At 42.3% G+C, this 14899-nt stretch overlaps 1 protein-coding gene across 12 annotated transcripts in view; it reads right to left on the reverse strand.

Moving 5' to 3' along the window:
- Window positions 1–14899, reverse strand: part of ATP8B1 (ATPase phospholipid transporting 8B1) — a 156890-nt gene that overhangs the window by 92857 nt on the left and 49134 nt on the right. Inside the window, exon 1 of one of the 12 annotated variants that reach the window (XM_047437546.1) lies at window positions 12236–12628. The exons of the other annotated variants lie outside the window; for them this stretch is intronic. The gene's annotated coding sequence lies outside the window, so the exon portion shown is untranslated. Of the gene's footprint in view, window positions 1–12235; window positions 12629–14899 lie in introns of those variants that run through there. 12 annotated transcript variants of the gene reach the window in all.

Genomic DNA, 14899 nt, shown 5'->3' on the forward strand with positions numbered 1-14899 from the left:
CCACCATGCCTGGCCAATTTCTTATTCGTTAGGTCTCAACTTCAGTGTCCTCTTCCACTCATGGTATTGAGCAGGATTCTGCCCTCCTCTTCCTGCTACCACTGGCCCCCTTGAGCACCTACATTTCTGTTTCCTTCCTAACACTTATCATGATTTGTAAACATGCATTTGCTTTCATTTATCTGCCTTTCCCACCAGACCATAAACTCTACAAGAACAGATTGGTCTGTGAATACTCAGTGCCTACTACACAGTTGACACTGAAAGATCTGGGGAAAGAGCAAATCAACTTTCAATAAAGTCTTCAAGGGCTCAGAGAGTTGTCTTACACCAAAGTTCTTTACCACCTTTACACAGGTCACACCTACCACATGGTAACAGATTCACAAAGTCATTGGACTAGGGATGAAAGATTGAGGGCAATGATGGGAGAAAACAGCAACAGTTAAGGTCAGAAGTCATACAAGATGAAACTTTTTAGGAGTCTGAGTCATTTGAGGCCATCCAAAAACCATTGTCCAAGATTTTACCATGTACGCAAAACCAAACCAGCCCTCTAGTAGGGTACTGAAGATATCAAAGGTGAGGACCAATCTTTCTTGTCCATCACTAGCACCTACCAGAGTCTGGCATATAGGAGGCTCGTTTGTTTCTGTACTTAGGAGGCTTATAGTCTAGACAAGAATTGGCAAATTGCAGCCCATGGGCCAAATTCGGCCCACTACCTATTTTTTTAGATAAAGTTTTATTAGAATGCACCCTTACTCATTACTGACATACCGGCTATGGTAGTTTTGTTTTTTGTTTTGTTTGTTTGTTTGTTTTGAGATGGAGTTTTGCTCTTGTTGCCCAGACTGGAGTTCAATGGCGCGATCTCAGCTCACTGCAACCTTCGTCTCCTGGGTTAAAGCAATTATCCTGTCTCAGCCTCCTAAGATGCTGAGATTACAGGTGTAAGCCACCACGCCTGGTCCTTCATCATTTTTTTTTAATGGCTTTTAAAGTTCACAAGAAGAAAGACTATTTCCGAAATCTGTTTTTCCTCATTTTGTTTATTATTATTATTAAAGACAATGCTGTAAAATATTTAACATATCGTAATATATAATAAGTATGAATTATATTTCTATATGTTCTATGCTATACGTGTTTCTTATTATATGTTCCATACTAAATATAAATTACTACTCTAAGATGGCCCCCAGTGATCCCACCTTTTGGTGTTCACATCTTTAATTTCCTGTGAGTGTGGCATACACATGAGGTGGTTTGCTTCTTTTTTCTTCCTTTTTTTTTTTTTTTTTGGTTGTTGATTCAAGTTCTTGCTCTGTCACCTAGGCTGGAGTACACTGGGGTGATCAAGCTCACTGCAGCCTCAATCTCCCAGGCTCAAGTGATCCTCCTGCCTCAGCCTCCTAAGTAGCTGAGACTAAAGGTGTGCACCATCACACCCAGCTAATTTTTTTGGTTTTTAGTAGAGATGAGGTCTTGCTAGTTTGCTCAGGATGCTCTTGAACTCCTGAGGTCAAGCAATCCTCCCTCCTTGGCCTCACAAAATACTGGGATTACAGGCATGAGCTACCATATCCAGCCCCTTTTCCTTCTTTCTTCTTCTTCATTTTCTTTTTTTTAAAATAAGCCTGAGTTCCTGAACCTTGCTGCTTTATTTTTTGAGATGGAGTCTTGCTCTGTTGCCCAGGCTGGAGTACAGTGGCGCGATCTTGGCTCACTGCAACCTCCACTTCCCTGGTTCAAGCAATTCTCCTGCCTCAGCCTCCCAAGTCACGGGGATTACAGGCGTGCACCACCATGCCAGGCTAATTTTTTGTATTTTTAGTAGAGACAGGGTTTCACCATGCTGGCCAGGCTGGTCTTGAACTTCTGATCTTGGGATCCACCCACCTTGGCCTCCCCAAGTGCTGGGATTACAGGCATGAGCCACTGTGCCCAGCTTGAACCTTGCTTCTAACCAATAGAATATGGCGCAGGTAATGGGATGTCACTTCCATGATTAGGTTATAAAAAACCATGACTTCTTGTTGCCAGCCAACTCTTTCCCCTTCCTTGCTTTGGTGAAGCAGCTGCCCTATGGAGAGGCTCACATGGCAAGATGTGAAGTTAGCATTGACCAACAGCCAGCAGGGACTGGAGCCCTCAGTCCAATAGTCCTTAAGGAATGCAGTGAATTTTGCAATCACTACATGAACTTGAAAGCAGATCCTTCCTCAGTCCTGCCTTCAGATGAGACATCAGCTGGGCTGGCACCTTAATTGTAGCCTTGTGAGAAATCCTAATACGGAGAACCCAGTTAAGCTGTGCTCAGACACTTGATTCATGGAAACTGTGAGATAATAAATGCGTGTTGGTTTAAGCTGTTAAGTTTTGGAGTAGCTTGTTACACAGCAATCGACAACCAATACACATACCATTAGTCACAAGCAGTAATTCTAGGGTCAGGCACTCAATGTAGCCACTATTATTTCCAAGTTATTCCAAAGAGCCCCCATCTAAAAGGTAGCAGAAATCTTCTCTATTTTCCTAGTTAGTCCAGACACATGCCACACCCTGTTTGGAGTCTGCCCAGTATTCTTTTATTTACTTATTTGAGACAGAGTCTCACTCTGTCACCCAGGCTGGAGTCCAGTGGTGTGATCTCAGCTCACTGCAACCTCTGCCTCCCAGGTTCAAATGATTCTCCTGCCTCAGCCTTTCCAGTAGCTGGGACTACAAGTGCATGCCACCACACCTGGCTAATTTTTGTATTTTTAGTAGAGACAGGGTTTTACCTTGTTGGCCAGGCTGGTCTTGAACTCCTAACCTCAAGTGATCCACCCACCTCGGCCTCCCAAAGTGCTGGGATTATAGGCATGAGCCACCACGCCTGGCCAATGCTCAGTATTCTTGAAAGTAAAATGACAAACTTGATGACAGTTGTAATTAGATAAAGAATCTCATGAAGCAATAGTAATAAAATGTATCTAAGATCTGCATTAAATTTAAACTTTATACTGTTATAGAAACAGCGTAATTACAGTTCCCAGCAGGAACAGGATTACATTTTTTATTTCCTCCCAAGGCAGGACCTAAAAAATCTAGAAGCCTGGGATAAATAACATAAAACTAAGGTATCAACAGTATCACTGTGGTGGGGACAATTCAGCCAGGATCTTTACATATGATAGAAAAGGCTTCTCTGAGTCCACAGCTTCACCCCCTATTCCTCAGAAAATCCGCCCCAGAGCCCTTTCTCACAAAGGAAGATTGGCTGCCTGGGTGTGGTGGCTCACACCTGTAATCCCAGCACTTTGGGAAGCTGAGGCAGGAGGATCATTTGAGGCCAGGAGTTCAAGACGAGTCTGGGCAATATGGCAAGACCCCATCTCTACAAATAATAATTTAAAGAATTAGCTGGGCACCTGTAGTCCCAGCTACTTGGGAGGCTGAGGCAGAAGGATCGCTTGAGCCCAGGAGCTCAAGGCTGCAGTGAGTTAGGATCTTGCCACTTAACTTCAGGCTAGGTGACAGAGCAAGACCCCATCTCTATAAAAAAAAAAAAAACAAAACAGACTGGTTCTTGTTTCATTCTGTACAACTTCAATGCGGTCATTAGAAAAGGTACAGGGGAAATCTCAAAACCTTGACATTTCAGAGATGAGCAGCTTTTTCATTCCCCTGGCTAAGGTTCAAAGGATTTCTTAGTCCAGCATTGCCATGGGCTCACAGCATTTCCTAGTAATATTATATTTCTTCTTATCCATAAAAGGCAGCCCCTTCCAGGACAAAGGATTTTTCATACAGATTGTCTCATGCAATTGTCATGGAATTATGCTGAGGCATGTCGCCAGGCAATGTCATTACCTTCTTACTAATGAAAAAACTGAGGTGGTTTCAAAGCTTGCCCAGGGTGATTTAGCTCCTAGCTATTCAGGCCCTTTCCACACATATCCCAGCTCTGTGCTCTCTGTGGTACAGTGAACGCATCGTAGATTCAGATTGGAATTCAAGCTCTGCCCAGGAAGCATCAGAGCCTGCTCTCCACTCCCAACATCACCTACTTCCCTCCCTTCCCCACACCTACTAACAACATCATTAGTCACAAGAAAACCCTAAGCAAAGGAAGAATTTGACAAGCAAAAAATATCAAACTTTGAGGTCTACAGGCAGATCTATCCTACACCAGTGAATTCTAAAATGTAAAATGCTTCCCAATGTATGCCGCTGAAGAGTGAAGTGAGAGCAATCATTATTTCCTAGACGGTTTTTGAGCTGGGCAACCTGGGAGTCACAGAGGTGAGCAAGAACTTGGGGTGGGTGGGAGAGAGATATTAAGGAACTAAAAAAACCTCAGAGGCAGGAAAATGCAATGGAAAGGCCCAGCACCGGCGCAGGTGGGAGATCTGGGGGAAAGAGCAGAGCTGGGGAAAGGTAGTTTTGGAGTCACCTCCAAAAGTAAGGCAGCTCATGCAGCCTTGAGAAGGCTTTATTCCAGGGAGTTAGAGGGCCCATGGAAGGTGTCTGCAAAGGAAAGAAATCTGATCTGCACAGCACTCATCTGACAGGGGGAAGGGTGACTGGGAAGGTGAGAGCCTGGGAGGGAGACTGTTCAAAAGTCACCCTGGAAACAGCATCTCCTTGTCACAGTTTCTTCACCTGGAACACCAAGTGGTTCTACCTTATTACCTCCACCATCACACTCAGCAACAACACTCAGTGCATGAATCTAGCCACAGCAAGAAGAAATACAGGCCTGGGCCGAACGCGGTGGCTCACACCTGTAATCCTAACATTTTGAGAGGCCAAGGTGGGCTGACTGCCTGAGGTCCGGAGTTTGAGACCAGCCTGGCCAAGACAGTGAAACCCCATCTCTACTAAAAATACAAAAATTAGCCAGGCATGGTGGTGTGTGCCTGTAGTCCCAGCTACTTGGGAGGCTGAGGCAGGAGAATCGCTTGAACCCGGGAGGTAGAGGTTGCAGTGAGCCAAGATGGCACCACTCCAGCCTGGGTGACAGAGTGAGACTGTCTCAAAAAAAAAAAAAAAAAAGAAAGAAATACAGGCCTGAACTAGGGTGGTGGCAGCCAGAAAAATGTGCTTAAAATGAAGGCAGGGTGGGGCTGCCATTCTTTTGTCTAGAAAATGAAGGAAAAAAAAAGTAAATAAAAGACTGGGGCTGGTTCCCATAGGATAAGAATGCTGTCATTTCCCCAGATGTTTATTTTGGAGACTCGGCCTCAATCCACAATGTACTTTTATAGTAAATAATGAAAGTTACCAGGAGAAAACCCTGGTTATTTTTACGTTCAAGCGTCATCCTTAGTTGTTAGGGACAATGGCCTCATTTTTACCCCATTACTATTGACTCTATAATTAGGCTTTAAAGTTATATTCATGTTTAAATAATACAAAGTCATAGGAGCTTTATAATTGACAGCTACCTGGAAGCAAACCCTTCAGGGTAAAATAAGTCTGTCAAGCTGAATTAATTTTAATGTTAGAAGAGTCACCAAGCTATTAATACAAAGACTGCACTCCCGAAAGACATACAAAACATCATAGCTTTCTGGAACAAAATATAAACTTTGAAACTTTTGATCTACAGAGAGACAACTTATATTCCCCATCCAGACTCACTAGGAATGGCTTATTTGAATGAAAAGGCAGTAGAAGAGGCAGATAAGTAAATAGAAATAATAAACACATAAAATGATACAATAAAAGATTACTCTTACTAGCAATCAAAGAATGACAAGTTGATGAAAACATAGACACCATTTTATGCCTATTCAGTTGACACTATTCAATGTTTTCAATGTCAGCAGTGGAGATGAATGAATCCTCACCCACCTTGCTGCTGGCCTTGAAATTAGTATATGTATTACTGATGGCCACGCTTTATGTACCCAAAACACTAAAGATATATTTGAAGCAATCACCTCATTTACAGAGCCTTTTCCAACAGGAATACTTCAATGAAAGGACTCTTACTGAAACAAATTTTTTTTTTTTTGAGACAGTGTCTTGCTCTGTCACCCAGGCTGTAGTGCAGTGGGGAGATCTCGGCTCACTGCAACCTCCGCCTCCCGGGCTCAAGCAATTCTCCTGCCTCAGCTTCCCAAGTAGCTGGGATTATAGGCATGCACCACCATGCTCGAGTAATTTTTGTATTTATAGTAAAGACAGGGTTTCACCATGTTGGCAAGGCTGGTCTTGAACTCCTGACCTCAGGCGATCTGCCTGCCTCAGCCTCCCAAAGTGCTGGGATTACAAGAGTGAGCCACTGCACCTGGCCACAAAATTTTTGATTGGCGTCATTAGTTATAAAAAGCAGGAATGGAAACCACATGAGTGTCCAACAAGATCTCATGGTTTTACAATTTTTTTTTTTTTTTTCTGACGCAGGGCCTTGCACTGTCATCCAGGCTGGAGTTAAGTGGCATGATCATGACTCACTGCAGCCTCAACCTCCTGGGCTTCAGTGATCCTCCCACCTCAGCCTCCCAAGTAGCTGGGACCACAGGCAAATGACACCACAACTGGCTAATATTTTGAGAAAATTTTTGTAAAGACGAGGTTTCACTACATTGCCCAGGCTGATCCCAAACTCCTGGCCTCAAGCAATCCTCCCACCTCAACCTCCCAAGGTGTTGGGATGATATGCATGAGCCACCACGCCTGACCTAAACATTTTTATGTTTTAGTATAGCTATTAAAAATAACAGCTATTTTTAATAACACTATCAGATGAAACGTAGGAAATGTTTTACAGTATTAACCGTGGGGGTGAGGCAGAAATCAGAATTGTGTTCTATAACTGCAGCTTTGTAAATAATATGATTGTTTTTAGAACTAACATTTGCACTGAAAGATACATAATTCTCTGTGTGTTTTTCCTTCCAAAATAATCTGCAATTAATAATAGCTATCCACTCCCTATATCCAAACACTGCTGAGCAATTGCTCATATACTGGGTACATTTCATGCAATTTTTACAGCACACACAAAAGGAAGGGCTTATCCTCATTTTGTGGGCTTGAAGAGGTTAGGTGGCATACTTCTCCAGGGTCACATATTGAGGTTTCAACCAGGTCTGTTTGTCCCCAAATCTCTTACGATTTGTCCTGGTGCTGTTCAAAGGGGGAGAAAAGTTGGATCAGGCCATTAGGATTATGCCCACTGATGCTTACTTTTTTTTTTTTTTTTTTTTTTTTGAGACAGAGTCTCACTCTGTCTCCCAGGCTGGAGTGCAGTGGTGTGATCTCTGCTCACTACAACCTCCGCCTCCCTGGTTCAGGCAATTCTCTCCTGCCTCAGCCTCCTGAGTAGCTGGAATTACAGGTCTATGTCACCAAGCCCAGCTAATTTTTGTATTTTTAGTAGAGACAGGGTTTTACCATATTGGCCAGCCTGGTCTCAAACTCCTGACCTCAAGTGTTGCACCTGCCTTGACCTCCCAAAGTGCTAGGATTGTAGGTGTGAGCCACCACTGTGCCCAGCCACTGATACTTTCTTAATATCATTCTGTCTCTTTGCAAATGATTACAAAAACAAAAATGGTAGCATGGAAGTGGGTTCATGGAATCCACTGTGCATGGTGCATGGAAGTGAGCTCAGAAGGGATGGTTTGCATGTCAAGGCAGAAGAGTTGAAACTTGCCACATTTTGTCCCTTGTATTATACCTTTCTGGTGTGTTAGTAAACAGAAGATTCCATCTCCCTCCTAAGGATGGTGAGCTGCATGAAATGTAGTCTGGGTCCACCATTTCCTCCAAGAGCCCTTGCTGATCCTCAGCAAAGATCCCCAACCATTACTTAGCACTAAGGACAATGGACCTTGAGTGCCTTGGAGAGGGGCCAGAGACAAAGATAGCTTGAAAAGTCAGTGGCCCAGGCCGGGCGTGGTGGCTCATACCTGTAATCCCAGCACTTTGGGAAGCCGAGGTGGGTGGATCACCTAAGGTCAGGAGTTCAAGACCAGCCTGGCCAACATGGTGAAACCCCATCTCTACTAAAAATACAAAAATTAGCCAGGCGTGGTGGCAGGCACCTGCAATCCCAGCTACTTGGGAGGCTAAGGCAGGAGAATTGCTTGAACCCGGGAGGTGGAGGTTGCAGTGAGCTGAGACCCCACCACTGCACTCCAGTCTGGGTGACAAGAGCAAAACTCTATCTCAAAAAAAAAAAAAAAAGAGAAAGAAAGAAAAGTCAGTGGCTCTCCTTAGTGATCTGTATCCAAAGCTGTGGCTTCAGCTGCAAATACAAACAGATGCTCTTAAAATTCCCACATGGCTCCTTTTCATTTGTAAATCTGTCTCAAATTTCCAAATATTTATATGTAAACATGTTCCAAAGCTTAAACAGACACTAAGGTGATTGGCACATTAAGTATGATTAGGGCACTTACTTGGTATCTTTTCTAGATACTATCATGGTTTCCTGAACATCTAAGACTGGTCGACAGAGCCTTACCTCTCATTCCATCTGAAGGTTAACACCTTTACAAATTCTGGGTCTGAGATATTTAATCACTGTCTCTTATGCTGTATTTCAAGTCAGCTTAGAGTACTCAACTTAGATTACAAACTCTTCCAAGGCAGCAGAGTTCATATCCTAAGTTTTGGACCAAGATTCTACTGCAAACATATGGTTAATATTTTATAGGTCCCTTGGAAATACTTGCATTTGGCTTGAAATATCTACAGAGCTTCCTACCAACAGTCAGCAATTCTATCTGTTCTGGCTTTCAGAGTTTGAACAGGTCAAATATAAGGAGTGTGTCCAAGCTTCTCCTACAAATCTGATCAGTTTAAGCACCCATGGTAAGACTTCTGATGTAAGGCTTCTGAAACTCCCCATGTTTTCCTAGGATGATGGTGGCGTGCGTTTACAGAGAGCTAACTATGTGTTCTATGCATCAGGCTCTCCACTATGTATTCGCATTAGCTTACTTTGTTTGAGGATCAAATTATTATCCCCATTCTACAAATAAAGAAACTGTAACTGAGAGGTTAAGTTCTTTGCCCAAGGACATATAAGGGGTAACCAGAATAAAATCCCTTGGAGACATGCTGCCACAAGCCAAGGAACTTCCAGAAACTAGGAGAGAATCCTGAAACAGATCCTTCCCCAGCACCCTCACAGGGAAGATGGCCGTGCAAAACCTTGATCTTGAACTTCTGGCTTCCAGATTTGTGAGACAATAAGCTTCTGTTCTTTAAGCTGCTCTGTGTGTGGTACCTTGTTACAGCAGCCCCAGCTAACTAATATATGGCTTGAATGTGTAGCTTTAACATCGGAGAGGGCCTTTCAAATTCCTTAATTCCAACAAACAGAGGACTCCACAGTCAGGTACTGCAAATTTGTTACTTAATGTCTTTAAATTCTGAATCCACCTTTGCCAAGACTATGTGCACAAAAGGAAAAACTGTGGTTACCTTTTGTAACAAGTTATATAAATAAGAACTAAATGACCATGTTTTCTTTTCTCTCTTCTAATTACCCAAAGGTTAACATGCTATTTTAAAGTTTAATTTAATTTAATTTTGCAGCTTACCCAGGTTTAACAGTTATTTGCAGAGAATAATCAGAAGGAACTGCAACTGGTGTTTAATGCAAATAAGGCCAGGCTGCTGAACTAGGGATGACTCATGCAGGCCTTGTGCAAACATCTAGTCTGATTTGCATTTAAGAGAAAAGGTACACCTATAGAAGTATCCAACATGTATTAAAACATCTTCAAAATGTTTTGGAGTTTTAAAGAAGTGCCCATTAAAGATGCTTTCTGCTCCACCTCTTAAAAAAAGCATGGCCCCAGGAAAAATGATAATGTATTCTAGAACTTTTTTCTGCTGTGATATTTTCTCCTCCCAATCAATGTTTGCTTCCCCTTTAAAATCTCTGTGTACTTTCATGGGTGCAGTAGCACATGGTGATGAGGGCTTGGGTTTGATTGAGCAATGCTCACCCCATCTCCAGCCCCTACCCCACAAAGGCAAGTAGTACAGAGAATATATATACTTATGATTCTGACATAAAATAAAATGTAAAGCCAATCAAAATGTTTGCATATTTTTTGCTTTTCCACATTCCCCTTCTCCATAGACCTAGACTTCAATCAACCTGCATCTCCTATAAAGAGAAAATGACTCTCTTGAATGCAACTGGACTCCAATGAAAACAATCCTCTTTAACTCTCTTGTTATCATAATACTATTTATAACTTTTACTCAATTAATGTTATTATAAGCTCTTATATATTCAACATGTTACCAACCTGAAAACTTACCCCCGAATTAACCTGATTTAGGTGAAGACACCCTATAGAACTCTGAGTTGAGTCAGGAAGATTGATCCATTATTTAGGAAACAGAGCTCACTGTCATTGTCCCCTGTAGGTCTAGGGAGGAAGCAGGCTCTGGCTGAATTGTCTAGAGGATTCTCTCCCTTCCAGCAACCAATCTCCTTCCCACCCCATCTCCACTCTTGTGAGCAAACCTTCAGCTGTCCATCAATAAATCATGCCAGGGATAAATTCCCAACAATAGCAAATCTAACTGGCCTCAACTTGCTATTTTAACACTTTGATCCTAACTTCCGAGAGCTCTTTTTAAAAAGAAAGGAAAAAAATGGAATTAGTGTAAGAATAGAGAGAAGAGCATTAAGGATAAACTAGGGGTTTAGTGCCGGGTGCAGTGGCTCACACCTGTAATCCCAGCACTTTGGGAGGCCAAGTTTGGTGGATCACTTGAGGTCAGGAATTTGAGACCAGCCTGGCCAACATCATGAATCCCCGTCTCTACCAAGAATATGAAAATTATCCAGGCATGGTGGCGTGAGCCTGTAATCCCAGCTACTCAGAAGGCTGAAGTACAAAAATCGCTTGAACCTGGGAGGTGGAGGTTGCAGTGAGCCGAGACTGTGCCACTGCACTTTAGCCTGGGCAACAGAGTGAGATTCCATCTCAAAAAAAGAAAAAGAATAAACTAGGGGTTTAAATAGTCCCTAAATCAGCAATCAGAAATAAATCAAGAGTACCTGCACACTGCACAACTCAAAGAAAATTACTGAAAAGCCTTTAAATGTCACATGGATTTGAACTTTACTATTAGATATCTGGAGCTAATTAAAATATTTTCAAAGCATGTTTTAAAAGTGCTCTGAATAGACTGTGCTCTGGATTTACATGATGCCATCCTTTCAAATATTTCGGAGTTGTGACATAGGCTCTTCTACAATATTCATCAATGAAAAACTGAGCTACACTCAAGAGCAAAAGCTGGTGTTTGGGCCACAAAACGGTCACCTCCAAGTGCTCCGCAGCTAGGCCTGCCTTATATATCAGTTCCTAGGCTCATTCTGGCTATTGCCCTACCCATCCTCAGAGTCCAACCTACTCTTTTCCTCCTTCATCTTAACAGACGTGTCTACAGTGAATTTGTGTCTTAGTTTTCCAAAGCTTAAACCTCAGGTACAGAAAACAATGTTGCACTAACCATGACAGCTAACTTTGTGCATGTTTGCATGTGTCACATGAGTATTTAAATATTATCAATGTTTGGCTGGGCACGGTGGCTCATGCCTGTAATCTGAACACTTTGGGAGGCCAAGGCGGGTGGATCGCTTGAGACCAGGACTTCGAGACCAGCCTGGCCAACATGGTGAAACTCTGTCTCTAGTAAAAATACAGAAAATTAGCCGGGCGTGGTGGCGCACACCTGCTATAATCCCAGCCACTTGGGATTCCGAGGCACAAGAATTGCTTGAGCCCAGGAGGCAGAGGTTGCAGTGAGGAGAGACTGTGCCACTGGACCCCAGCCTGGGTAACAGAGCAAGACTATCTCAAAAAATAAAATAGAATAAGAAAATAAATCTTATCAATGCTTGTTATGGCTTAAACATTAGTAATTTAGGCTATCAATAAGGAATGTTGGGCTAGGCTTGTGGCTCACACCTGTAACCCAGTACTTTGGGAGGCTGAGGCAGGAGGATCACATGAGCTCAGGAGACCAGGCTGGGCAGTATGGTGAAACCACAGCTGTACAAAATATATATATATATACTAAATTTAGCAGGGCATGGTGGTGTAGCTGTAGTCCCAGTTACTTGGGCAGCTGAGGGAGGAGTATCACTTGATCCTGAGAGGCAGAGGTTGCAGTAAGCCAAGATGCTGTCTTGAAAAAAAAAAAAAGGGAATTTATTTTGCTGTCTGGACCAAACACAAAATACAATTACACTCACCATACTCTGAAATCAGAATCAATGACTCTCAAGAAACAGCTTCCATAGGTCAAATGGGGATCTACAAGGCTTCCAGATTATCTTCAAAATCTGTTGATAGACATTTCTGTTGTGCTTCATTATAGAAATTACTAGATTTTCACATATGCGTTAGAACTTGGAGAGGCTCTATCTGCTCTGACTGTGCCCATTGCAGGCCCCACCCTAGCTCCAGCCACCTTCTGCTCCCTCACAAGTACACTCACAAGGGCAGCTAGGCAGCTTCATTCCTTTTCCAGGTCCTCAAATCCCGATGTAATGTCTTTATCATTTGTACTTTAACAACTTACTGCCTGAACCATTCTTTGCATTATGGCTTGTATTGTGGTTGTTTTTGTTTCTAACAGAGTAAAAATCCAAAGGTGCAGGCAAGGCATGGTGGCTCATGCCTATAATCCCAGCACTTTGGAGGGCCGAGGTGGGCAGATTGCTTGAGCTCAGGAGTTCAAGACCAGCCTGGGCAACATGGCGAAACCCTATCTCTACAAAAAAATACAAAAATTAGCTGGGAATTATGGTGCGTGCCTGTGGTCCCAGCTACTTGAGAGGCTGAGGTGGGAGGATCGTTTGAGCCCAGGAAGCAGAGGTTGCAGTGAGCCATGACTGCACCACGGCACTCCAGCCTGGGCAATAGAGTGAGACCCTGTCTCAAATAATAATAATAATAATGATAATAATAATAATAATAAATGATAATCTAAAGGTGCAAGATCATGGCCTATTCCTCTTATTTCTCAAGTGGGGCAGAATCAAGAAATGGTTAAGGGCTCCTGTCTGAGGTTAGACAGATAGGGGATGAAATCCCAGCTCTAAGGCCTGCTACCTGCAGAAGCTTGGGAAAAATATTCTTAGTAAGCTCCTACTTCTCCATTTATAACATGAAGATAATGGTTACCTTACAGGGTCCTTGTGAAGCTTAATCTTGATCCCATGTAAAGCCCTTAGTAGCATGCACAGTATGTGGCCCCAGATATCCACTGAGTGAGGCATTCCAGTGATTCATTTCATCAGAAATTCAGTAACACACACAGATATAATTCTTATATTTCCCCCTTCGATAAAGCTTAGTTTAGTTTATTATTAACCATCGTAAACCTGAAACATCAGGGAACTGAAGTTTTCAAGTGAAAAACAGAGTAGGAAAACAATAAAAACTTTTATAATTGCACTTCACAGCTTGCAAAAGCTTTTCAGATACCATTAACATACTTATCTCTAAAACATCATTGAAAAGTAGATTATTTTCATTTTATTCTCTGCAATAGCTCCATTGCCCAGAACAGCATGTAACACACAGTAGAACTTTCATAAAGAACTACCAAATGTAGAATCAAGCTCAGAGTTCAAGGCTGTATCCAGGTTCTCAGAAATGACAAGATGTAGAGGAACCAGAACCAGATCTTAGCATTTGAATCCAAATCCTGCATCCTTTCTCCTCAATCACACTGTCTCCGGCCCCCAGGGTAAGGTTCCACAGAACTGTAATTATTTAAGACATTCTATATTTTCTAGATGACAATAACTTCAAGATAAGAGAGTAGAGTGCTTAAAAAACCCCGATTAAAGAAAAAAAAGATCTCTCTTGTGTCAACAAGGGAAGAGAGAACCAGTAATATAACTACTTGGATACAGATTTTTGCTTTCCTCAAAGTATACTCAGCAAACCACCTTGATCATGGTATGAACAAGTGAAACAAACCACATTTCAAAACCAGGTTGAATGAAAAGATGCATTGGCTGAGCTTACTTGGAAATAATATGGAAAGAGAGGAAGTGGACAGATCTATAGATAAAAACAACATTGGCCTTGGCCATGAACAAGGGGGTTCATTTTACTATTTCTACATGTGTTTGAAATCTTTCTAAATTAAAACAAGGCAACAACAACACAACAAAAACTCTCCTTCACATAAACCAATGTATTAACATGAGGTCACCACTGTGTAAAGCACATGTGTACTAATCACCAACACAGGCTCTGAAGGGAACACATGCTTTATGCAGCCATTGGCTCCATCTTGAAAACTCAGATATTAAATAATCTTTTCATAGACAGTTAAGAGGAGATTATTTTAAAAAATGAAATACAGGCCGGGCACAGTGGCTCACGCCTGTAATCCCAGCGCTTTGGGAGGCTGAGGCGGGCAGATCACCTAAGGTCAGGAGTTCATGACCAGCCTGGTCAACATGGTGAAACCCCATCTCTACTAAAAATACAAAAATTAGCTGGGCTTGGTGGTGCACTTCTGTAGTCCCAGCTACTTGGGAGGCTGAGGCAGGAGAATTGCTTGAACCTGGGAGGCGGAGGTTGCAGTGAGCTGAGATCATGCCACTACATACCACCCTGGGCTACAGACAGAACAAGACTCTGTCTCAAAAAAAAAAAAAAAAAGAAAGAAAGAAAAGAAAAAAAAAAAGATACATCTGAATATTTAATAAAGTGAAAATGTTATAGAAAACTATAATGTTTTATGAGTCAGGGCCACTCCATTTGCATTGGACTTGAGGAGGCATATTTCTTCTTTGGTTAAACAGGAATATTTAGCATTTACTTGTTCTTTTTGTGCATTACAATTTTTTTCTTTTAAGAATCAGTTTCAGCCTGGCACAGGGGCTCATGCCTGT

The sequence above is a fragment of the Homo sapiens genome, chromosome 18 (genome assembly GCF_000001405.40).
Source record: "Homo sapiens chromosome 18, GRCh38.p14 Primary Assembly".
Lineage (NCBI taxonomy): Eukaryota > Metazoa > Chordata > Mammalia > Primates > Hominidae > Homo > Homo sapiens.